General features: G+C 35.9%; 1 protein-coding gene across 14 annotated transcripts in view; it reads left to right on the top strand.

Moving 5' to 3' along the window:
- The window catches only part of SCLT1 (sodium channel and clathrin linker 1), a 220,299-nt gene that overhangs the window by 32,131 nt on the left and 161,133 nt on the right, over positions 1-27,035 (top strand). For 12 of the 14 annotated variants that reach the window (XM_047449590.1, XM_017007717.3, NM_144643.4 and 9 more), the window contains exons 3-5: positions 17,358-17,416; positions 17,942-18,014; positions 22,313-22,368. In XM_047449590.1, coding sequence (XP_047305546.1) covers positions 17,358-17,416; positions 17,942-18,014; positions 22,313-22,368 — 188 coding nt within the window. Of the gene's footprint in view, positions 1-17,357; positions 17,417-17,941; positions 18,015-21,196; positions 22,217-22,312; positions 22,369-23,282; positions 24,816-27,035 lie in introns of those variants that run through there. The other 2 variants (NM_001300898.2, NM_001300897.2) reach the window with 2 other exon arrangements.

Raw genomic sequence — 27,035 nt, 5'->3', positions numbered from 1 at the left:
AAACACCCCACCCTACAGGCCAGACATCTCATACCCTGCTTCCCTGGAGCTGGACTAGCCCCTAGAGTCTGTGCTGCAGAGACACATTTCTTTCTAGGGAGTGGATTAATTGTTGGGCTATTCTGATGCCCCCAAAGCTGGAAAGACAACTGTACTTTGCCATTCTGGGAAACTTGCTGCCGCGCATCTGCCCTCACAGAAAGTAAGATACAGATAAGCCTTACCATCCTAGGGTCTATAGTCACCACTACATGGTGTCTTATCCCCTGGTATCTGAGATGCCACTGAACTCTACTGGCTCAAGTTGCTTACTTCTAGGTATACTCTGCTTCTCAGGCACAAATCTCCAGAGTACCTTTTCTTCTCAGGAGTTGGGCCAGTGCTGTGCCCTGCCCCCACCCAGGGATAGAACCACAAGTACAACGCAGCCCTTCAGCCCAAGTGGATAGGGGTGTCTTAGAGTCCAGATCCTGGCTCTGTGGGCACTCTACATCCAAACCTGCCACAAAGAGTAAACCTGAACCCCCAAACCCAGGTACCACAAAGGATAGATGAAATGCTGAGCCTAAGATCTCACCCCACAGCCATTCCAAGACCCTGCACCAGGAACCCAGTGCCACTGCAGCTACTTGTAGGCCATGTCAGACCTGGGAACAACAGGGATCCTCTTGATAAGTCTCCCTATTGTGGTGAAATTAAATATAGGAGGACCCCAAGAATACTTGACATTAAGAAAATTAACAATCCATACCACCACTGCCACAAACTTCTACAGCCTAGGCCACTAAGAAACCCACAGTTACTGCTGACATTAATTACAGCTGAAGAAGCCTCATGGACCCTATTCCATTACACTTATCTGTAAACAAAATTACCACGCCCTTCCCAACTGGTACACTAAAGCCCAACTGCAGGTGAAAGTATTTCTCTATGAAAACTATTCTACAAGATGTGGAAGAGGTGATTGTTCCAACAGGTGTATGGATCAATGCAGGGACACAAGAAACATGAAAAAGGAAGGGAATATGTCACCACCAAAGGAACACAAGTCTTTAGTAAAAGAACCCAATGAAAAGGAAATCAATGAATTTCCAGAAGAATAATTCAATGTAATGATACTAAGGTAACCCAATGAAGTAAAAGATAATACAGTAGATAATTCAGTGAAATCAGACAAAGAATTCATAATATGAATAAGAAATTTAACAAAGAGAAATCACTAAAATGAATCAAACAGTTTCTTCAACTGAAGAATTTGATTAATTAATTGAAAAGTACAGTACAGGCCTTCAAGGAGAGACTTGATCAAGCAGAACAAAGAATCTCAGAACTTGAAGACGGGTTGTTTGAAATATTTTCTGCAGAAAAAAATAAATATAACAAAGGCTACAGTACTTATGGAACACCATTAGGCAAAAAAATATTCATATTATGGGCTTTCCAGAAGGAGAAGAGAAGGGAAAAGCATAGAAAACCTATTAATGAAATAATAGCTGAAAACTTCCCAAGGCTGTGGAGAGATATGGACATCTGGATCCAGGAAGTTCAAACATCCCCAATGAGACTTAACCCAAACAGGTCTTTTCTGAGGTATATTACAGACAAATTTTCAAAAGTCAAAGACAAAGAGAAAATTCTAAAGCTAGCCAGAGGTAAGCAGCAAGTCACATATAAAAGAATCTGTAATTAGACCAACAGCATTTCTCTGCAGAAACCTTATAGAACAGGAGAGAATGGTCAAAGTACCAAAAGAAGAAAAACAATATCAGCCAAGAATACTATACCCAGCAACACTCTCCTTCAGAAATGAGGGAGAAAGAGTTTTCCCCAGACAAACACAAACTGAGAAAATTCATGACCACTCTATCAACCCTACAGAAATGCTCAAGAGAGTCCTATATTTGAAAGCAAAATACAATAATTGCTATCATGAGAGCACATAAAAATACAAAACTCACTGGTGGAGCAGATACACGAAGGAGAAATGGAAAAAGCATCAAACCTTATCACTAGAGAAAACTACCAAACCACAATAATAAGAGAAAAACAGGAGCAAAAGGATATACAAAACCACCAGAAAACAAATAACAAAGTGACAGGAGTAAGTCCTTAACTGGCAATAATAACCATGAATCTAAATGGATTCCATTTCCCACTTAAAAGATAAAGACATGCTGAATGGATAAAAAGCTGTCACCCAGTTATATGCTGCCTACAACAAACTCACTTCACCTGTAAACATACATATGGATGGAAAGAGAAGGCATGGGAAAAGATACTCTACTCAAATGAAAACAAAAACCAAACAAAGGTGGCTATTCTTATATGAGATAATACAGACATTAAATCAAAAACTGGAAACAAACACAAAGTCATTGTATAATGATGAATTCAATTATATCATGATGAATTCAATTATATCCTCCTTCCTGATCAATTCAGAAAGGAGGATATAATCTTTTTAAATATATATACACCCAACACCAGAGCATATAAATATGTAAAGGAAGATAAAGGGAGTCCTGTGATCAAGAATAAATATAACAATTATAAATATTTTATCTAAAGTGATAGATAGACTGTAATACAATAATAGGTGGTGACATTAACACCCCACTCTCAGCATTGGACTGATCATCTAGACAGAAAAACAATAAACATTAGATTTAAACTATAGACCAAATGGATCTCACATACATTTATATAAATTTTTATTCAACAACTGAAGAATACATGCTATTTTCATCAACACATGGAACATTCTCCATGAGATATCATATTAGGCCACAAAACAAGTCTCAACAAAATTAAAACGATTAAAATATTTCAACTATTGTTTGTGACCACAGTGGAATAAAACTATAATTCAGTAACAAGAGGAACATTAGAAACTGTACATATACATGGAAATTAAACAACATGCTCTTGAATGACCAATAGGTCAATGAAGAAATTAAGAAGGAAATTTGAAAATTTCTTGAAACAAGTGAAAATGGAAACACAGTATACCAAAAACAATGGGATACAGCAAAAGAGGTAAATTTATAACAATAAATGCCTACATCAAAAAAAATAGAAAGACTTCAATTAACCTAATGAAACATCTGAAGGAACTAGAAAGGCAAGAACAAATCAAACACAAAAAATAGTATAGGGAAAGAAATAATAAATGTCAGAGTAGAAATGGACAAAATTGGCACTAAAAAACCAATACAAAAGATCAACAAAATGAAAAATTCATTATTTGAGAAGATAAACAACAAACCATGGCAAAATAACCAAGGAAAAAGTGAAAAGATCCAAATAAAGTCAGAAGTGAAAAAACGAGACATTATGATACCACAGAAACACAAGGGATTGGGCCAGGCATGATGGCTCATGCCTGTAATCCCAGCACTTTGGGAGGCCAAAGTGGGTGGATCACCTGATGCCAGTTCAGGAGCAGCCTGGCCAACATGGTGAAACCCCGTCTTTACTAAAAATACAAAAATTAGCCAGGCGTGGTGGTGGGTGCCTGTAATTTCAGTTACTTGGATGACTGAGGCACAAGAATCACTTGAACCTGGGAGGTAGAGGTTGCAGTGAGTCGAGATCATGCCACTGCACTCCAGCCTGGGCGACAGAGCAAGACTCCCTCTCAAAAAAAAAGAAAAAAAAAAGAAATACAAATACAAAGGATCAATAGGACTATTGTGAACAATTATATGTCAATAAATTAGAAAACCTAGCAATAATGGATAAATTCCCAGAACCCTCCAAGATTAAATGTAGAAGAAATAGAAAACCTGAACAGACCAATTATGAGAAATGAGAATGAGTCTGTAACAAAAAGTCTTAAAAAAAAAAAAAAAACTAGCTCAGGACCTGATGGCTTCACTGCTGAATTCTACCAAAACATTTAAAGAATAATATTAATTCTTATTAGCTGGGCATGATGGCGCACGCCTGTAGTCCTAGCTACTTGGGAGGCTGAGAGTCATCAAAAAAAAAAAAAAAAAAGAATAATATTAATTCTTCTAAAATTATTTCAGAAAACCAAAGGTTAGGTGATTCTTCCAAATGTATCCCACAAGGCCAGCATTACCTGATACCAAAACCTAACAAAGGCACAATAAAAGGAAATTATAGGTTAATATCTCTGATGAATATAGATTGAAAATTCTTCAACAAAATAATTGGAAAAAGAATCCAGCAGCATATTAAAAGGATTATTTACCATTATCAAGTGGGATCAAGAGATGTGAGGATAGTTCAACATACACAAGTCAGTAAACTTGATACATCACATCTAAGAATGAAGAACAAAAACCATACGATAATCTCAATAGATCCAAAAAAAGCAAGCGATAAAATTCAACATATCTTCTTGATTTAAAAAAACGTTCAACACATTAGGTGTAAAAGTAATGTATCTCAGCCCAATTAAGACCATATATGACAAACCCACAGCCAGCATTATTCTGACAGCGTAAAAGTTGAAAGTTTTTTCTTCCTAAGATTTGGAACAACACCAGGATGCCCACATTCACCATTTGTATTCAACTTAGTATGGGAGTCCTAGCTAGAGCACTTAGGCAAGAGAAAGAAATTAAAGCGCATCCAAATTGGAAAGGAGGAAGTTGTCCCTGTTTGCAGATGACATCATCTTATATATAGGAACATGTAAAACCTCCACCAAAACACTCTTAGAACTGATCAACAAATTAAGTAAAGTTGCAGAATACAAAATCAACATGCAAAAGTTAGTATTGTTTCTATACACTAAAATAAACTAGTGGGAGAAAAAAATCAAGAAAGCAATCTCATTTACAATAGCTACTGAAAATTAGGAAAATATCTAAGAATAAATTTACCAAGGTGGTGAAAGATTTCTATAAGTAAATATATAAATGTTGACAGAAATTGAAAATGATCCAAATAGAAATACATACCATGTTCATGGATTTGAAGAACAAAGCTGGAGGCATCACTCCACCTGACTTCAAAATATACTATAAAGCTATAGTAACCAAAACAGCATGGTACTGCCATAAAAATAGACACATAGACCAATGGAATGCAATAAAGAATCAAAATTTACAGCCAACTGAATTTCAAAAAAGGTGCCAAGAACATTCACTGGGGATTGGACAGTCTCTTTAAGAAATAGTACTGGCAGATAGACATTGGCAAGATGGCCAAATAGGAACAGCTCCAGTCTGCAGCTCCCAGCGAGACCAATGCAGAAGGTGGGTGATTTCTGCATTTCCAACTGAGGTAAACTGTTCATCTCATTGGGACTGGTTAGGCAGTGGTTGCAGACCATGGAGAGTGAGCAGAAGCAGGGTGGAGCATCACCTCACCCGTGAAGTGCAAGCAGCCGGGGTCTCCCTCCCACAGCCAAGGGAAGCCATGAGGGACTGTGCTATTCGGCCCAGATACTATGCTTTTCCCACGGTTTCTGCAATCTGCAGATCAGGAGATTCCCTTGTTGCCTACACCACCAGGACTTTGAATTTCAAGGACAGCACTGGGTGGATGTTTGGGCAGACACCAAGCTAGCTGCAGGAGTTTTGTTTGTTTGTTTGTTTGTTTTTGTTTTTTTTTTTTTATGCCAGTGGCGCCTGGAACCCCAGCGAGACAGAATTACTCACTCCCCTGGAAAGGGAGCTGAAGCCAGAGAGCCAAGTGGTCTTGCTCAGTGAGTCCCACTCCCATGGAGACCAGCAAGCTAAGAACCACTGGCTTGAAATTCTTGCTGCCAACACAGAAGTCTGAAGTCCACCTGGGATGAACGAGCTTGGTTGGGGGAGGGGCATCCACCATTACTGAGACTTGAGTAGGCAGTTTTCCCGTCACTGCTAAGGAGGCTGGGAAGGTCAGACTGGGCAGAACTCAACACAATGCAGCAAAGAGGCTGTGGCCAGAATGCCTCTCTAGATTCATGTTCATAGGGTATCTCTGAAAGAAAGGCAGCAGCCCCAGTTAGGGGCTTATAGATAAAACTCCCATCCCCCTGGGACAGAGCACCTGAGAGAAGGGGCGAATGTGGTTGTAGCTTCAGTGGAATTAAACGATCTTGCCTGATGGCTCTGAAGAGTGCAGCAGATCCTGACAAGCAGGATCCTCCCAGCACAGCACTAGAGCTCTGTTAAGGGACTGAGTGCCTCCTCCAGTGAGTCCCTAACCCCCATGCCTCCTGACTGGGAAAGATCTCCCAACAAGGGTTGACTGACTCCTCATACAGGAGAGCTCCAGCTGGCATTAGGCCAGTGCCCCTCTGGGATGAAGCTTCCAGAGGAAGGAGCAGGCAGCCATCTTTGCTGTTCTGCAGCCTCTGCTAATGATACAATACCCAGGAAAACAAGGTCTGGAGTGGACCTCCAGCAAACTGCAGCAGACCTGTAGAAGAGGGGACTGACTGTTAGAAGAAAAGCTAAAAAACGGAAACCAGTAACATCAACATCAACAAAAAGGACCCCAACACAAAAACCCCACCCAAAGGTCATCAGCCTCAAAGATCAAATCCACCACGTAGATAAATCCATGATGATGAGGAAAAACCAGTGCAAAAATGTTGAAAAATCCAAAAACCAGAATTCCTCTTCACCACATAATCACAACTCCTCTCCTTTCTGCAAGGGCAGAGAACTGGACAGAGTATGAATCTGACAAATTGACAGAAGTAGGCTTCAGAGGGTGGGTAATAAACTCCTCTGAGCTAAAGGAGCATGTTCTAACCCACTGCAAGGAAGCTCAGAACCTTCATAAAAAGGTTACAGGAGCTGCTAACTATAATAACCAGTTTAGAGAAGAACGTAAATGACCTGACAGAGCTGAAAAACACAACACAAGAACTTTGTAAAGCATACGTAACTATCAATAGCTGAATCGATCAAGCGGAAGAAAGGATATCAGAGATTGAAAATCAACTTACTGAAATAAGGCATAGAGACAAGATTAGAGAAAACAGAATGAAAAGCAAGGACCAAAGCCTCCAAGAAATATGGGACTATGTGAAAAGGCCAAATCTACGTTTGATTGGTGTACCTGAAAGTGACGGAGAAAATGGAACCAACTTGGAAAACACTCTTCAGGATATTATCCAGGAGAACTTCTCCAACCTAGCAAGGCAGGCCAACACTCAAATTCAGGAAATACAGAGAACACCACAAAGATACTCCTCGAGAAAAGCAACCCCAAGACACATAATCATCAGATTCATCAAGGTTGAAATGAAGGAAAATATGTTAAGGGCAGCCAGAGAGAAAAGTCGGGTTACCCACAAAGGGAAGCCCATTAGACTAACAGCGAATCTCTTGGCAGAAACGCTAGAAGCCAGAAGAGAGTGGGGGCCAATATCCAACAATCTCAAAGAATTTTCAACCCAGAATTTTATATCCAGCCAAACTAAACTTCATAAGCGAAGGAGAAATAAAACCCGTTACAGACAAGGAAATGCTGAGGGATTTTGTCACCACCAGGCCTGCCTTAGAAGAACTCCTGAAGGAAGCACTAAATATGGAAAGGAAAAACTGGTGACAGGCACTGCAAAAACATACCAAATTGTAAAGACCATTGACACTATGAAGAAACTGCATCAACTAATGGGCAAAATAACCAGCTAGCATCATGATGACAGGATCAAATTCACACATGACAATATTAACCTTAAACGTAAATGGGCTAAATGCCCCAATTAAAAGACACAGACTGGCAAATTGGATAAGGAGTCAAGACCCATCAGTCCGCTGTCTTCAGGAGACCCACTCACATGCAAAGACACACACAGGCTCAAAATAAAGGGATGGGGGAATATTTACCAAGCAAATGGAAAGCAAAAAAAAAAAAAAAAAAAAAAAAAAAAAAAAATCAGGGATTGCAATCCTAGTCTCTAATAAAACAGACTTTAAACCAACAAAGGTCAAAAGAGATAAAGAAGGGCATTACATAATGTTAAAGGGATCAATGCATTAAGAAGTGCTGACTATCCTAAATATATATACACCCAATACAGGAGGACCCAGATTTATAAAGCAGGTTCTTAGAGACTTACAAAGAGACTTACACTCCCACACAACAATAGTGGGAGACTTTAACACCCCACTGTCAATATTAGACAGATCGATAAGACAGAAAATTAACAAGAATATCCTGGACTTGAAACTCAGCTCTGGACCATGGAGACCTAATAGACATCTACAGAACTCTCCACCCAAAATCAACAGAATATATGTTATTCTCAGCACCACATCACACTCATTCTGAAATTGACCACAAAATTGGAAGTAAAACACTCCTCAGCAAATTCAAAAGAATGGAAATCATAACAAACAGTCTCTCAGAACACAGTGCAATCGAATTAGAACTCAGGATCAAGAAACTCACTCAAAACCACACAGCTATATGGAAACTGAACAACCTGCTCTTGAATGACTACTGGGTAAATAACGAAATGAAGGCAGAAATAAAGATGTTCTTTGAAACCAGTGAGAACAAAGACACAACGTACCAGAATCTCTTGGACATATTTAAACAGTGTGTAGAGGGAAATTTATAGCACCAAATGCCCACAAGAGTAAGCAAGAAAAATGTAAAATTGACACCCTAACATAGCAATTAAAAGAACTAGAGAAGCAAGAGCAAACAAATGCAAAAGCTAGCAGAAGACAAGAAATAACTAAGATCAGAGCAGAGCTGAAGGAGATAGAGACACAAAAAACCCTTCAAAAAATTAATAAGTCTAGGAGCTAATTTTTCTAAAAGATCAATGATTTAGATAGACTGCTAGCCAAACTAATAAAGAAGAAAAGAGAGAAGAATCAAATAGATACAATAAAAAATGATAAAGGGGATATCACCACCAATCCCACAGAAACCAAAAACTACCATGAGAGAATACTATAAACATCTCTATACAAAAAAAAAAATTGAAAATCTAGAAGAAATGAATGAATTCCTGAACACATACACCCTCCCAAGAATAATCCAGGAAGAAGTCAAATCCCTGAATAGACCAAAAACAAATTCTGACATTGAGGCAGTAATTAATAGCCTACCAACCAAAAAAAGTCCAGGACCAGATGGATTCACAGCCGGATTCTACCAGAGGTACAAAGAGGAGCTGGTACAATTCCTTCTGAAGCTATTTCAAACAATAGAAAAAGAGGGTATCCTCCCTAACTCATTTTATGAGGCCAACATCATTCTGATACCAAAACCTGGCAGAGATACAACAAAAAAAGAAAATTTCAGTCCATTATCCCTGATGAACATCAATGTGAAATTCCTCAATAAAATATTGGCAAACAGAATTCAGCTGCACATCAAAAAGTTTATCTACCATCAAGTCAGCTTCATCCCTTGGATGCAAGGCGGGTTTAACATATGCAAATCAATAAACATAATCCATCACATAAACAGAAGCAGTGACAAAAACCACACGATTATCTCAATAGATGCAAAAAAAAGCCTTCGACAAAATTCAACAGGCCTCCATGCTAAAAACTCTCAATAAGCTAGGTATTGATGGAACATATCTCAAAACAATAGGAGCTATTTATGACAAACCCACAGCCAACGTCATACCAAATGGGCAACAACTGGAAGCATTCCCTTTGAAAACCGACACGTGACAAGGATGCCCTCTCTCACCACTCCTATTCAACATAGTATTGGAAGTTCTGGCCAGGGCAATCAGGCAAGAGAAAGAAAGAAAGGATGTTCAATTAGGAAAAGAGGAAGTCATATTGTCTCTGTTTGGAGATGACATGATTATATATTTAGAAAACCCCATCGTCTCAGCCCAAAATCTCTTTAAGCTGATAAGCAACTTCAGCAAAGTCTCAGGATACAAAATCAATGTGCAAAAATCCAAGCATTCCTCTACACCAATAGCAGACCAATAGAGAGCCAAATCATAAGTGAACTCCCATTCACAATTGTTATAAAGAGAATAAAATACCTAGGAATACAACTTACAAGGGATGTAAAGAACCTCTTCAAGGAGAACTACAAACCACTGCTCAAGGAAATAAGAGAGGACACAAACCAATGGAAAAACATTCCATGCTCATGGATAGGAAGAATCAATATTGTGAAAATGGCCATGCTGTGCAAAGTAATTTATAGATTCAGTGCTATTCCCCTCAAGCTACCATTGACTGTCTAAACAGAACTAGAAAAAAACTACTTTAAATTTCATGTGGAACCAAAAAAGAGCCTGTATAGCCAAGACAATCCTAAGCAAAAAGAACAAAGTTGGAGGCATCATGCTACCTGACTTCAAACTATACTACATTGCTACACTAACCAAAACAGGATGGTACTGGTACCAAAACAGATGTATAGACCAATGGAACAGAACAGAGGCCTCAGAAATAACACCACACATCTACAACCATCTGATCTTCAATAAACCTGACAAAAACAAGTAATGGGGAAAAGATTCCCTATTTAATTAATGGTGCTGGGAATACTGGCTAGCCACAAGCAGAAAACAGAAACTGGACCCCCTCCCTACACCTTATACAAAAATTATCTCATGATGGTTTAAAGATTTAAAAGCCAAAACCATAAAAAGCCCAGTAGAAAACCTAGACAGCACCATTCAGGACATAGGCATGGGCAAAGACTTCATGACTAAAACACCAAAAGCAATTACAACAAAAGCCAAAATTGACAAATGGGATCCAATTAAACTAAAGAGCTTCTGCATAGCAAAAGCAACTATCATCAGAGTGAACAGGCAACCTACAGAATGGGAGAATATTTTTGCAAGCTACCCATCTGACAGAGGTCTAATATCCACAGTCTACAAGGAACTTAAACAAATTTACAAGAAAAAAATGACCCCATCAAAAAATGGGTGAAGGGTAACAACAGACACTTCTCAAAAAAGACATTTATGCTGCCAACAAACATGAAGAAAAAGCTCCTCGTCACTGGTCATTAGAGAAATGCAAATCAGAACCAAATGAGATACCATGTGACACCAGTTAGAATGGCGATCATTAAAAAGTCAAGAAACAATAGATGCTGGCAAGTTTGTGTATAAATAGGAATGCTTTTACACTGCTGGTGGGAGTGTAAATTAGTTCAACCATTGTGGAAGACAGTGTGGCAATTCCTCAAGGATCTAGAACCAGAAATTCCATTTGACCCAGCAATCCAATTACTGTGTATATACCTAAAGTATTATAAATTATTCTATAAAGACACATGCACACGTATGTTTATTGAAGCACTATTTACAATAGCAAAGACTTGGAACCAACCCAAATGCCTATCAATGATAGACTGGATAAAGAAAATGGGGCACATATACACCACGGAATACTATGCAGCCATAAAAAAGAATGAGTTCATGTGCTTTGCAGGGACATGGATGAAGTTGGAAAGCATTCTCCTCAGCAAACTAACACAGGAACAGAAAAGCAAATACTGCATGTTTTCACTCATAAGTGGGAGTTGAACAATGACAACACAGGGACACAAGGAGGGGAACATCACACACCAGGGCCTGTCTGTGGGTGGCATGTAAGGGGAAGGAGAGCATTAGGACAAATACCTAATGCATGCAGGGTTAAAACCTAGATGATGGGTTGATAGGTGCAGCAAACCACCATGGCACATGTATACCTATGTAACAAACCTGAACGTTCTGCACATGTATCCCAGAACTTAAAATAAAAATAAAAATTAAAAAACTGCCAACTGCAAATAAAAAAAAAAGAAATAGTGCTGGAAAAACTGTATATCCATATGCCAAAAATAAATCACCCCGTCTCTTTTTTTTTTTTTTATACTTTAAGTTTTAGGGTACATGTGCACAATGTGCAGGTTAGTTACGTATGTATACATGTGCCATGCTCGTGTGCTGCACACATTAACTCGTCATTTAGCGTTAGGTGTATCTCCTAATGCTATCCCTCCCCCCTCCCCCCACCCCACAACAGTCCCCAGAGTGTGATGTTCCCCTTCCTGTGTCCATGTGTTCTCATTGTTCAATTCCCATCTATGAGTGAGAACATGCGGTGTTTGGTTTTTTGTCCTTGCGATAGTTTGCTGAGAATGATGATTTCCAATTTCATCCATGTCCTACAAAGGACGTGAACTCATCATTTTTTATGGCTGCATAGTATTCCATGGTGTATATGTGCCACATTTTCTTAATCCAGTCTATCATTGTTGGACATTTGGGTTGGTTCCAAGTCTTTGCTATTGTGAATAATGCCGCAGTAAACATACGTGTGCATGTGTCTTTATAGCAGCATGATTTATAGTCCTTTGGGTATATACCCAGTAATGCGATGGCTGGGTCAAATGGTATTTCTAGTTCTAGATCCCTGAGGAATCGCCACACTGACTTCCACAATGGTTGAACTAGTTTACAGTCCCACCAACAGTGTCAAAGTGTTCCTATTTCTCCACATCCTCTCCAGCACCTGTTGTTTCCTGGCTTTTTAATGATTGCCATTCTAACTGGTTTGAGATGGTATCTCATTGTGGTTTTGATTTGCATTTCTCTGATGGCCAGTGATGATGAGCATTTTTTCATGTGTCTTTTGGCTGCATAAATGTCTTCTTTTGAGAAGTGTCTGTTCATATCCTTTGCCCACTTTTTGATGGGGTTATTTGTTTTTTTCTTGTAAATTTGTTTGAGTTCATTGTAGATTCTGGATATTAGGCCTTTGTCAGATGAGTAGGTTGCGAAAATTTTCTCCCATTTTGTAGGTTGCCTGTTCACTGTGAGGGTAGTTTCTTTTGCTATGCAGAAGCTCTTTAGTTTAATTAGATCCCATTTGTCAATTTTGTCTTTTGTTGCCATTGCTTTTGGTGTTTTAGACATGAAGTCCTTGCCCATGCCTATGTCCTGAATGGTAATGCCTAGGTTTTCTTCTAGGGTTTTTATGGTTTTAGGTCTAACATTTAAGTCTTTAATCCATCTTGAGTTAATTTTTGTATAAGGTGTAAGGAAGGGATCCAGTTTCAGCTTTCTACATATGGCTAGCCAGTTTTCCCAGCACCATTTATTAAATAGGGAATCCTTTCCCCATTGCTTGTTTTTCTCAGGTTTGTCAAAGATCAGATAGTTGTAGATATGTGGTGTTATTTCTGAGGGCTCTGTTCTGTTCCATTGATCTATATCTCTGTTTTGGTACCAGTACCATGCTGTTTTGGTTTCTGTAGCCTTGTAGTATAGTTTTAAGTCAGGTAGCGTGATGCCTCCAGCTTTGTTCTTTTGGCTTAGGATTGACTTGGTGATGCGGGCCCTTTTACAAAAATCAACACAAAATGGACTAAAAAATGTAACACCCAACACTATGAAACTGGTGGACAAAAACATAAATGTTTCAGTACATTTTTCTGGGTAAAGGTTTTATGGAGAAGACCTCAAAGGCATAAGCAAGAAAGGCAAATATAGACAAATGGGATTATATCAATCTTAAAAGCTTCTGTATTGTTCAGGAAACAATCAACAGAATGAAGAGGAATCTGGCAAAATGGGAGAGAGTATTTGAAAACTATTTATCTGACAAGAGATGAATGTCCAGAATATATAAGGAACTCAAACAATTCAACAGTTAAAAGAAGAATCTAATTAAAAAAGGAGCAAATGAGCTGAATAGACATCTCTAAAAGAAGACATACAACTGGCCAAGAAGTATATGAAAAAATGCTAAACATAAGTAATCATTAGAGAAATGCAAATCAAAACCATAGTGAGATCCCATATCACCCCTGTTTTAATGACTTTTATCCTAAAGACAGGCAATAATGGATGCTGGTGAGGATGTGGAGAAAGGGGAACCCTCCTACACTGTTGGTAGAAATGTACATTAGTTTAGCCACTGTGGAGAGCAGTATGGAAGTCCTCAAAAAATTAAAACTAGAACTATTTTGTTTTCAAAATTTATATGAAAAGGGACAAGAAGAGCTAAGACAATCTTGCAGAACAACTGCACTTGGAAACAGATACTACCAGGTCTTAATATTTACTGTAAAGCTATAGTAATTTGGTTAGTATGGTATTGGCCAAGGAAGCAAGCCAGTTAAACAGAATAAAGTTTGGAAATAGCTCTACACATACCAGACTTTCATATAGAATAAAGAAAAATAAATTTTGATCTCTACCCAAACTACTCTCATATGTAATTTCTGCATTGATTGCATATCTAAATGTTAAGGTAAAGCTTTTAGAACAAAACTTGAGGGAAGAAGTTATGAGCTTATAATAGGCAGGATGGCTTAAACAGCACATAAGCACTAATCATAAACGAAATAACTGATAAACTGGGCTACTTCAAAGTGAAAGAACTTATGTTTTTAAGACATCATTAAGAAAGTAAAAAGACAAGCTATGGAATGGAGAATATATTTGTAATCTTGCAAAAATCTAGAATATATGAAGAATGTCTTCAAATTAATAACTAAAACAATTACCCATTAGAGAAACAGGTCACTTCACAAAAGAGGGTATTTAAAATGCTTTGTAACTGTAGAAAAGACTGTTCAACTTCATTATTTATCAGGTAAATGGAAATTCAAACCACAATGAAATACTACTATATCCACTGGCTAGAGTGAAAAGCATAGTTCCAAGTGTTGACAAAGATGTGGAATAGCTCTCATATACTGCCTGTGGGAGAGTAAATGGGTAAGATTACTTCAGAAAATTGTTTGACATTTTCTTCTAGATCTGACTGATACAGACCTTATGAGTCATCAACTCTACCTATAGGTATACCCATCAGAAATGCCTATACCAATAAGACTTTTTCAAGAATGTTTGTAGCAGCACTGTTTATAATAGTCAAATAATGAACAACCCAAATACTTCATTTAATAATAGAAAGCATAAATATATTGTGGCATACTTGTAAAGTGAAATAGTATATGTCAGTAAGAATGAACTAACCAAAATTACTCACAGCAGTAAGAATGAATCTCACAAACCCAGTGATAAGCAAAAGAAGCCAGACATAACAGAAAATATACTGTGTGGTTATATTTTTATAATGTTTTTAAAATAGGGAAAATGATTTCCTGCTGTTAGAAGTCAGGATTTGGGTCCCACATGGAGCCTGGGGGTAGTGACTTAGGGGTTTGGGGGTTGTTGGTCATATACATAGTTCTCACTTTTTGCAGTACCATGTTAACTGAAACTTGTGTGTATCAGAACTGTCCTTACTTGGATTTGATGTTTCCACAGAACTGTGCAAAATGAAGACACGTATACCAATATGCAAAGTGAAGAGTACTTGTATTCTGTTGCTTGATTTGAGTTCTGGTTACATGAGTATATTCACCTTGTGAGAATTATTTAGCTGTATACTTATAATTTGTACTGTCTTCTGTATGTGTGTAGTACTTGAATAAAAACAGTATTGATTATCTTCCTTTCATCTACTCATTCTTACCATTCTATGCCTCTTTCATGGTATGTCTTTATTATTATTATTGTTCCTTGCTTATTTGCCTCTCTCTTCCTATAACTCTACAATCCATCCAATGGATAAGGACTATAAATTGTTTGTTCATCTTTGTATTATTTACTGTACCTCCCATGGGCCCTTACACATAGTAGGTAAATAAGTATTTACAGAGTAAGATGTTAAAAATTAATTAAGTGAAAGTTTAGAATTCAGAGGCTTCTTTGAGTTATATTTTTAAATTACTCTTTAATATGTATGTGATCATAAATACTTTCTCCCTTCAAAAAGCCAGAACATTACAGATGCTTTTAGTGATCCCTTTGAGCACCTTTCTTCTCTGTCCTATTTTCTTCTTTCCACCCCTAGAAATAACTTCTTTGTTTTTTATGATATATATATTTTGATACATGTGAATTTAATTAATTTCTTGAACTACTTATGGGATTCTATTGTATCATTTTTTATTTATTCTGTTAAAAGACATTTTGTTAGCTATGTTTTATAGTAAAGGCACCACTGAAAAACCTCTTACATCTTGTGTTTAAATGTTTCTCCATATGCCATAGATACAAAATTTCTGGTCATGTTACGAATGCTGTAGGTCTTTTAACTTTGCTTTTGGTGTCTTTAGCTGTATAGAAGTTTTAAATTTGGATGTTGTAAAATGTGTCAGTCTTTCCATTTATAGGTTTTGCTCCTGGTGTCTTCCAGTTAACAAATGTAATTTGAGCAAAAAAGTATGGCAGGCGCTGCTTGGGATATTTGCAAACAAAACAGACAAAAATTTCTGCATTTGTGACGTTAAGAAAGCATTGTCTAACTCAAGGTCAATAATGCATTTTCTTGCAATAATTGTTAAAATTTTAACAACATTTGGATTTTTATCTGTATTTTTCCATTTAGTATGTGCTAGCAGCTAATTTTGTTTTGCTATCCAGTACTATTTGTTGGATAGCAGTATTGTGTCCATTCAATTATAATTCTTCTTCTTTTATATACCACATACCTATAAATGCTTGAATCTATTTCTGGGTTTGTTATACTGTTGTGTTTGTTACTGTACCTATAGCATACTGTTTAAATTGCTATAGCATTGTGGTGTTTTGCTATGTAGTAACCAAGTTCTTCCCTCTTTCTTTTTTCTTTTCCTTTTTTTTTTTTTTTTGGTGAGATTATCTTGGCTAATTTTTCATACTTATTCATGGAACTTTAGGATTTATTTAAGATCAAGTTTTATAAATAATTCTATTGGAACTTCATTTTTGAGTGCAATGAAGTTGTAGTGAATTTTAGAGAGCTGACATTCTCAAAATATTGACCATTCCACACATACATTAATGTTATAGTACCATGTTTGTTTAGATTTCCTTTTATATCCTTTAGTAAAGCTAATTTTCTCAATAAGCTCCTGTACCATTTTTTGTTTGCTTTATTCCCAGATATTGTTTATCATAGTAGTGAATAGGATTTTTTTTGATTACATTTTCTAATTATTGCTGGTATTTGAAAAAGCTACTGATTTTTTTTTTAAGTGTTCATCTTCTGTCTGGTGACTTTTCGTGTATTATCTTACTAGTTCTAATAATTGGTAGATTATACTGAGTTTTTAGGTAAATGGCCAAATTGTAAATAATAATAGCCTTCCATCTTGCTTTTCAACCTTTAAATTATAATTGATGTAGATTTCTGGCAGATATTTTTATCAAATTAAGAAAAAATCCTCAAATTTCTAATTTGCCAGTGGTTTTTATTGTGCATGGGTATTAAATTTACCAAATGCATTTCAGTATAAATTGAGATTATTATTTTTTTCTCTCATTTTGAATTACATAAATAGAGTTTCTAAGATTATGAAAATTTAATTGCATTTAATATTATATCACTATCAATTTTGGCTAGAATGATGTGAGAACACATTTTAAGATGTACATTCTTTTATAGAAAGCTGTCTGCCAAGGAGAAGGAGACGACACATTTGAAAACCTAGTATTTGACCAAAGGTAAAGTATTACCAGAATAATATCATTTTCTTCGTTATATTTAATTATTATTAGCATAATTCAGTATCAGGAATGTTTGTTTTATGGTCTGCTGTTATTAAACTTAAATGCTTTGTTCTTGAATTGACAAGAAAAAGCAAGTATTACAGAGTCTACAAAATTAGTTCTCAGACAGGAGCAACTTTACCCCTGTTTCCCCAGGAGATATTTGGCAATGTCTAGAAACATTTTTGTTTGTCACTACTATGGAAAGTGAGGCTGCTGCTGCCATCTAATGGGTAGAGGCCAAGTATGCTGTTAAACATCCTTCATTGCACAGTCTAGCCATCCCACAACAAAGAATTTTTCAGTCCAAAATATTAATTGTGCAAATATTTAAAATTCCTGGTTTTGGAAAAAAGGGAAAAGTTTTTATTGCATGAGTAAACTAAACATAAAATTTTTATGTGTAATTTATTTCACTTGTTATATATTTATTAAACTAGATGGAACAGAATATGCTATATTTTTATTGTCTTTTTTTAGCTTTTTAGCTCCTCTTGTTACTGAGTATGATAAACACCTAGGAGAACTAAATGGGCAGCTGAAATATTACCAGGTATGAAATCATAGTTATGAGGCTTTTGTAATATTTTATTATGAAAATAAAAAGTAAAATAGACTCCCTCTTTTTAAAAAGACATTGATGAGAAAGAGAATATTTGCTGTAACTAACCAATTGGTGGCCCTATGTAAATGTGTGTGAATGTATATATGTGCATATGTTTAAAGATTCTCTTCTAGCTGGGTGCGGTGGCTTATGCCTATAATCCCAGCACTTTGGGAGGCTGAGACAGGAAGATCATTTGTGCCTAGAAGCTTGAGACCAGCCTGGGTAACGTAGTGAGACCCCATCTCTTTTTTTTTTCTTTTCTTTTTTTTGAGATGGAATCTCACTCTGTCGCCAGGCTGGAATGCAGTGGCGCGATCTCGGCTCTCTGCAACCTCTGACTCCCTGGTTCAAGTGATTCTCCTGCCTCAGCCTCCCGAGTAGCTGGGATTACAGGCATGTGCCACCATGCCCAGCTGATTTTTGTGTTTTTAGTAGAGATGGAGTTTCACCATGTTGGCCAGGATGGTCTCGATCTCCTGACCTCGTGATCCGCCTGCCTCGGCCTCCCAAAGTGCTGGAATGAAGTTAGCTGGGTGTGGTGGTGTGCACCTGTGGTCCTAGCTACTCAGAAGGCTGAAGTGAGAGAATTGCTTGAGCAGCCTGGGAGGTCGAGGCTTTAGTGAGCTGTGGTCAAGCCACTGCACTCCAGCCTAGGCAACAGAACTGGACCTTGTCTCGAAGAAAAAAAATATTCTCTTCAGTTTTGTCTTTTAATTCAGTGTTTCCTTGCTCTTGCTATCTTGCATGAGATATTGCTTAGGTGCTTAGAAGAATCTCTTAATCTCATTATTGTTTGCTTACATCTCTCTTTTTTTAACCTAAAACTGTCTCGCATCCTTTCAGACCTTCCTCCTTACCTCATTCTATCTGCATCTCCCATTACTTGCAGAATGGATTATCATTTTGGGTCCCAGGGCTTATGGAGAACTAGAATAATAGCACAAAATTGTTTAGGGTACAATTTGAGTTTCAGTGAGCTACGTGTTTAGAGTATGCCTAATATTTATAATGTGTTTCTTTGATCTGAAAATGTCTTTTAACATTTTCCCCTAGAATTTTGACCTAATACTGGGATAACCATATAATAGAAGTATTTCTTAAATAGAACTTATATGACTCAAGCTAAACCTATCAGGAGGCAATGACCTCTCTCTATTAGAGCTTGAATATACTCATGATTGGATTTGGTTTAGATACCAATTCCTGGATAAATGCAGTTGTAGCAAGGGTGGCAGGGTTGGCTTTCATTAATGCAAATGGAACAGAGTATAATGACTTTTTATTAAAGCAGCCTGGCCAGGTGTGGTAGCTCACGTCTGTAATCCCAGCACTTTGGGAGGACAAGGCGTGCAGATCACTTGCGGTCAGGAGTTCAAGACCAGCCTGGCCAACATAATGAAATCCCATCTCTACTAAAAATACAAAAATTAGCCAGGTGTGGTGGCACACACCAGTAATCCCAGCTACTTGGGAGGCTGAGGCAGGAAAAATCACTTGAACTTGGGAGGCAGAGGCTGCAGTGAGCCGAGATCGTGCCACTGCACTCCAGCCTGGGCAACAGAGTGAGACTCTGTCTCAGAAAAATAAATAAATAAAATATATTAAAGCAACCCCTGAGACCGATTTCCTCAGAATCAGCCTGTGTGTGTGGCAGACACTAAGCACTTTCTCCCTTACTTCCTTTTCTTTTTATGCACGGACATGAAGGGATCCTACTGTGTACTTTCAAGTGTAGCACATAGTAGGCCCTTAAATATTTAATGAATGATTAAATGCCAGGGCTTATGGGAATAAGATGATTAGAGCTAGCTTAACAAGCCCTTATTTATCAATTAATGCATTGATATGTAGCTTTACTAAAAGAACACATAATGCTTCCAATTTCTAAAAATAAAATTAGGTTCTTTCACTGCATTTGAAATTATGTAGGCTTTCATTTCCAAGGTTATTTCTCAAATACATAAACAAAGTTGTCCTTTAGACCCAAATGTCAAATAAAAGCATTTCATTAAAATTATAGTGTCTGTTTTATCATAAGGTCTTCCTGGTCTTTATTGTGTATTTTTTAGCCTGTAGTTATTTAAATTTAGGACAAGCACAGTAATGTCTTTTAATCTTCCTAGCTGACAATTAAAGAGCAACAGAAAGCTCTCTTTTGCACAAATGATATTTTGCTTTTGTTTTCAGGACTAGTGAATTTAAAGTTGCTGCTGAATTTACTCTCTCTAAATTCCTGTAATAACATATTATGTACTTTGGTTGTTATAGGATAGCTAATTATCTTGAAATTAAATTCATTTAAATTTTTTACAATCTGATTCATTTATTTCTTTAATCAGCCATTTTACTAAGATGTTTAACTTTGTTTTTCTATTTTGCATTCTTTACCGCCAAAGGTTGATCACTTAATTAATTACAAGAGAAAAATAAACTATGCTAGAAAGCCTGAGTCTTTGATGATAAAAATAATTGCTCCTTCTTTTAGAGAAAAAAAAATGTTGACAGCTAAGAATGGTTGCTCAGATAGATGTGATTGATTAGAAGGATTAGTTCTTATGACTTATTGACCTAGTCAAAAAATACTATATCTCCAAAGCAGGAAAAGTAGCACTGCAATTCTCTATATGGACGATTTTCTGCCAGAAAATATAAATAGTAGGGAAGAATTTGATGATGTGAGAAATACTGTATGGATTTCACTTCCTTCCAAATGTAAATATTTTGAAATATTTTACAGTAAGGAATTTATAGTGAGAGCGTTACAATCCATCTTTAGTCTTAGCTAGTGAATATATCTTACATAATTATTTAAGAGTAATAAATATTCTTTAAGATGCACTGATAGTTTTGCAACTTTTAAAGATCAGTTTATTGGCTGCAGTGGGCTGTGATCGTGCTCTCACACTCCACCTTAGGAGACAGAGTGAGACCCCATCTTAGGGGAAAAAATTATTTAAAAACTATAAAATTAAGATAATGGCTACAATAAATCCAAACCTCTTGCCATGGCATTCTTAAAACCCTGTACCTGTCTTTCCAATTTTATCTCTCACTGTATCAGTCCATATATGGTCAGTGCTCAATTATCTGGTAGTGAATTAATCCATGTTGGTTTAATTGTGTTTCAGGCATAACGAGGACCTTGGAAAAGTTCACCTTTCAAACCAAATTTATAGTTAGAATTTGCTATTCTGATCTCCTAGACCAAGCTTCCTTGATCTTCTCGGTTGAAAGAGAGAGAAAAAGGCTGGCAGAACTGCCTGTTCCACCTGGCCCTTGCGAAAGTGTACTCCAGGATAAGCTTCTCTCCTTTAGCTTAGGAAGCACAATCAAGACTAATACACAATCATGAATTAGTTACCGTTTTAAGTGAGATTTTGCATGCTTTTACATGTAAATTCAGGGTTTTGTGTGTGTGTGTGTGTGTGTGTGTGTGTGTGCGCGCGCGCACACTCTCCATTTGCTCATTCACACTTACTGAGAGTTGACTACTTATTTTTTGCTATTTTGCTTTTACTCATATTTTCGCCAACTTTAAATGCTTTCTTTTCTTTTGAAATCCTAACATCTTTTTACTCCTTCAGAGAACGTTAATCAGACCTTCATTTAATTCCCTTTCTGGTGTGCATTTTATTCTGCCTTGTATTTTAGTTAGGATTTTTTTTAACCATCTTTCCTACTATTTTTCAATGAGCATGTCTGTTTACCTTAGCGCCTTGTATGGTACGGAGAGTTTAGATAGTTAATGAAGGTGGTGAATCAGAAACTGAATGAATGACTGCTAAAAAAGACCTCCATTTTCTTCTTTACTGTTAGCATTTTACCTTTTGAAATACTAGAAAAATATACATACTTATATGGGCTTCACCTAAACTGAGGTGAATTAACTAAGATATACATTCAAGATACAGGAACCATCTGGTATTTGTTATAGTGACATACTCCAGAATATCTTTCATCTGTTTTTCACAACTACAAGTCATAGGAATTACATTTATAAACATTTCTCACCATGTTACATAAAATATTTCTATTTTATTTATATTCTACTTAAAATGAATGTTTTATTGTGTTCTGTTTATTAGTAAATTATCCATATTAATTATCCCTTTGTTATAAATAAAGAATAAGTCTTTCTTATCTGTAAACTAGTGTCAGAATCTGATTGCTTACGTGAGTGGTCTACTTAATGGAGATCTGATTGTCTGCAAAATGTATTGCCACACCATATTTTATTCTTTCAGAAACAGGTGGGTGAGATGAAATTACAACTTGAAAATGTCATCAAGGAAAATGAAAGGTAAATCAATTAACTATTGGTTTTATCTTTTATTATTGTCTTAGGTAACTTTTATTTTTGTTATTTGATATTTGATAGCTATAGTATTAATAGTTAAGAATGTGGACCCCGGGGCTGATTTTCTATTTGACTCCTGGCTCGATTACTTGTTAGCTGTGTGACCCTGGACAGGTTACTTCCCTTTCTGCTTTAGTGTCCTCTTCTATAAATCAGAGATAATAATAGAACCTATTTCATAGGGCTGACTGTAAGGGATAAAGTAAGTACTTGGAGTAGCATACAAAATAATCACCTTACCAATATTAGCAATCAATAATGTAGTATATAATATATATGTATGTTAGAAAACATATTGATAAAATGAAAACTTTTCAGCCTACCACTCAGCTTGAATGTTAAAATGTTGCCAGTGCTGGTGCATCTATCCATGTTTTTCTTCCATTTCCCATCCTTCTCTTTCTCTCTGCCAGAGATAAACACTATCTTGAATTTTGTGTTTATCATTCCCTTGCTTTTACAGTTTTTTTATAGGTATGTGTATCTCCAAGCGATATACTTTTTAGTTTTACATTTTTAAAGACTGTATAAAAACGGTATCATCTAGTGTTCTAGGACTTACTTTTTTATTCAATAACATACACAAGTGCAAGAGTTTCAAGGAAGGAAGTTGCTGGATTATAGGTTATATGAATATCAATTTTGCAATATAATATCAACTTAATTTCCAAAATAGGTGTACCAATTTACATTCTTACCAGTGATATTTATGAGTTTATATTGATCTATATCTTTTAATACCTGTAGCTCTTGTTAAGCTTAATTTTCATCATTTTGACTGTTAAATACTTTTTTATTGTTGTTTTAATTTGCATTTTCCTGAATACTAATATTGTTGACTTTTTTTTTTGAGACAGAGTCTTGCTCTGTCTCCCAGGCTGGAGTGCAGTGGTGCGATCTCGGCTCACTGCAAGCTCCGCCTCCCGGATTCGTGCCATTCTCCTGCCTCAGCCTCCCCAGTAGCTGGGACTACAGGTGCCCGTCACCACGCCCATCTAATTTTTTTTGTATTTTCAGTAGAGACGGGGTTTCACCATATTAGCCAGGATGGTCTCGATTTCTTGACCTCATGATCTGCCCGCCTCAGCCTCCCATTGTTGACCATTTTTATATGTTTATTTACCTATGTGGTTTTCTTTTCTCATAAAATGCTTGTTCATATATTTTCCCCATTTCTACTTATCTTGTTCTTATTAAATTGCCAAAGTGCATATGTGATCTGTATTCTGAAAATTTGTTGATGTGCTGGTCAGTCTCAACACAGTAAACAATAACCATTCTAGAAATTTGAAACAAGAAAGGATTTAATTCACTTACATTTAAGTGCTACTAAATCATTAGTTTTACAGTTACACCTCAGAGACTATAATCCTGGGGTTAGGAATTTATGGTGCTACCACCATCCCTGGTGCTACCACCATCCCTATTACTACCATGGCAGCATTATTTCCATAAAACTGGAGACTTGATATTGGAAAAAGGGTCATAGGATATTGACTACAAGAGACATTTTTGTCTATCCAGTTTTACTTACCAGCCACCATATCAACAGAAAAAATGGTCTCAGCTCACTTCTACCTTTTATATCTCCCTTAAATGCCTCTCACTGGTAAAATTTTAATCTTATCCACAACTTCAGCTGCAAGACATCTGGGCAATGTAGTTTTGGACTTTCCGCCCCTGGGACAGAGGCCAGAATGTGGAAGGGAACAGAAATAAATAATGAGTGCCAGTGGTTCATACAACACATTAGATAATAGGTGTTTCAAATGTATATTCCCAGACTGTGGTGTGTTTGATGAACAGAATTTTTTTTTCTTTTTTTTTTTTAACTTAAAGTAAATCTCTCACTCTTCTCCTGTGGTTATTGTTCTTTGTATCTCCTGTAAGAAGTCCTTTCTCAGCCTAATGTCATAGAGATCTTCTCTTATATTTGCTACTAAAAAATGTTTAAAGCTTTTCCATACCAAGTTTCTTAACTTTAACCCATAAAATTCATATAACTGGACTGAAATCTGATACATCATTTTTTGTTGACTTTTAACTAGACTAAAAATCCAAAATTTTTTGAGTTCTAAATTTATTCAAAACATGGGCTCTTTTAAAGTTTGACATTCTTTTATTTGTATTTTTCTATGTTATGTAGTAATTTTATTTTATTTTGATTATATTTATTTTTATTTTAGTGTAGCTATATTTAAATTAATACATGCTGTTCCTTAAAATTACATAGCACACCCACGGAATTGTCTTGCCTTTGGCTATTTCATGATTTTCTCTCTTCCTTGTATTTTCCATTAGTTTTCTTTCCTTCTAATTTCCAAAAACTTCATATATTTAAGCTGTCAGTGTTTACTGAAGTGCAAAATAAAGTACATCTTTTAATTGGGCTTTTAGTTTTTCTCATTTATTTTTGTTTTTTTCCCATGGGAAATTTTTTTTAATCTTAGTATTTTATGATTTACTATTCTTTTCCAAAATACTTATTAAGCAGGGATGTACTCTTCCTAGTAAAGAATATTATAAATATTTCTGAATCACCAATATACTTAGATAAAGCTTGTATTTTAATGTGCTGAGAATAGACAAGGTATTTTATGGTTGAGATAATCATTTAATTGTTTCCTATATTGGACTTTATATTATTCCTTTCATATGCAGGTCTTTTGAAGCCAGTCTTTAAAATCTGCCTTCACCTATTTAACGGTAATTCAGTCATGTCTCATGAGTATGTTTATTCCTAGTACAATAGGAAAGTGTAAAAAAATGGATTCTAAGTTTATTAAAGACACTTTTGGTAACTTGAAAGTGTTAATCAGGTTTTAAAGTGAACTCTACTAATTATGTCATTAAGAAACATCCTACTTTTAATTATATATTGTGGCTAAGGACTACAAAATCAAAAGAATGTATTATTTTTAAAGAAAATACCTTATATATACATGGACAGGTTTAAATAATGGAAGGTAGCAATGGTGTGGATTATGTAAAAGTATACAATTTCAGATTACTGAATTTTGGAAAAATTTTAATACTTACATTTACATATCAGAGTATACTATCTGAGAATTTACTACAATAGGAAATAATGAAGTCATTTTATAAAACTCAGACTGAGGAAAATGTAAAAAAAAAATACATATTATTATTATTATCATGCTCCCTTCCATTTTTAAATCCTTGAAATGTATTTCATGTTGAGATTATAGAGGTTTTTGTTTTGTTTTGTCTTGTTTCTTTCTCAATACTATTTTTTCCTCCTCTCATAGCTTTCCAGAGGAAGGAAATTGAGTAAGATAATTGAATAAATGAATGAATACATGTACAGCATTTTCTGATACTAAGTAAATACAAAGTAAATTTTATTGTTGTCATTTTTTATTTTACTGTTGAGGGTATGGAAGACATCATCTGTTGCCAGTACAAGAGCTGTTTTTTTTTCCTTCATACATAGTCACATAACCCTAATTTTGTTCCAGTGGCAATGTGCTCAGGGAAGATGAGCTTATTCCATAACCTGAGGTAATAAGTCATTGACCTAAACCAGTTTTTATGTCTTTTTGCCAGGAATTGGTTTGGAAGTGGACATGTGACCTAGTTTTAGCCAGTGAGATGAAAGTCCCTTGTGGAGCTTCTGAAAAAGTTTTTCTCTCTGATAAGAGGAGAGAGGGCAAAAAGAAAGCCTTCCCCTTTTCCTGCTCCTTGTCATTTTAGAAAGTGATGTGTGAAGCTGCTATAGCCATTTTTAAACTATGATTGTAGATATCAGCACATGAGAAGATTAGAAGAAGAGAAACATGAGGAAACCTTTGCAAAGTCCTTAAGTGATATTATTGAGCTACTGAAGCAAATCTGGAACTATATACCTTCCAACTTAATATTAGGTGAAGTAAGAAAATAGTCATTCACAACCGTTGAGTGATTACTAAATGTCAGGCACCATTTAAGGCTTTGAGATACATTAGTGAATAAAATAGACAGAAATGACTATTCTCACTTATTTGTTGGGTGTTTTATTACTTGTAGCCTAAGTGTACTGATAAAGAGATTTAATTACATCTGTCAGGGGTTCACAAACTGTAGCTTGTGGGTCAAATCTGGCCTGCCACATCTTTTTATAAATAAAATTTATTGGATCACAGCCATGCTTAGTCATTTAAATCTTGTTGATGGCTTTGTTTTATGTGACTATGAAGTTGAATAGTCGTGACAGAGATTGAATGGCTCACAAAACCTAAAATATTTATGTACTCTCTGGCCTTTTACATAAAAAGTTTACTAATCCCTAATACATGGAATGTTCTTTCACTGCAGAATCTCTTAAACTGGTCTTTAACAGTCACTAAAAAGTTTTTTTGAAATTTAAAACTATCTTAAGATATTTATTTAGGCATATATATATATATATATATAGCTTTAGAACACAGAAACATAAAACTTCAACAAGATTATAAAGTTAGTATTTAGCATATAAAGTAGTTAGTATATGAATCTAGTATGTAGTGATATTTGGCATCTTGTTATTTTTTATTTTCTGATAGCCTGATATTTATTTTTTTAGATTACAACTAAATATGTTACAGATTTAAATAACATTATACAATGGAATT

This window comes from Homo sapiens, chromosome 4, assembly GCF_000001405.40.
Source record: "Homo sapiens chromosome 4, GRCh38.p14 Primary Assembly".
NCBI classification, from domain to species: Eukaryota; Metazoa; Chordata; class Mammalia; order Primates; family Hominidae; genus Homo; species Homo sapiens.
The sequence above is the reverse complement of the archived record's forward strand: the minus strand, read 5'-3'. Positions and strand labels throughout refer to the sequence as shown.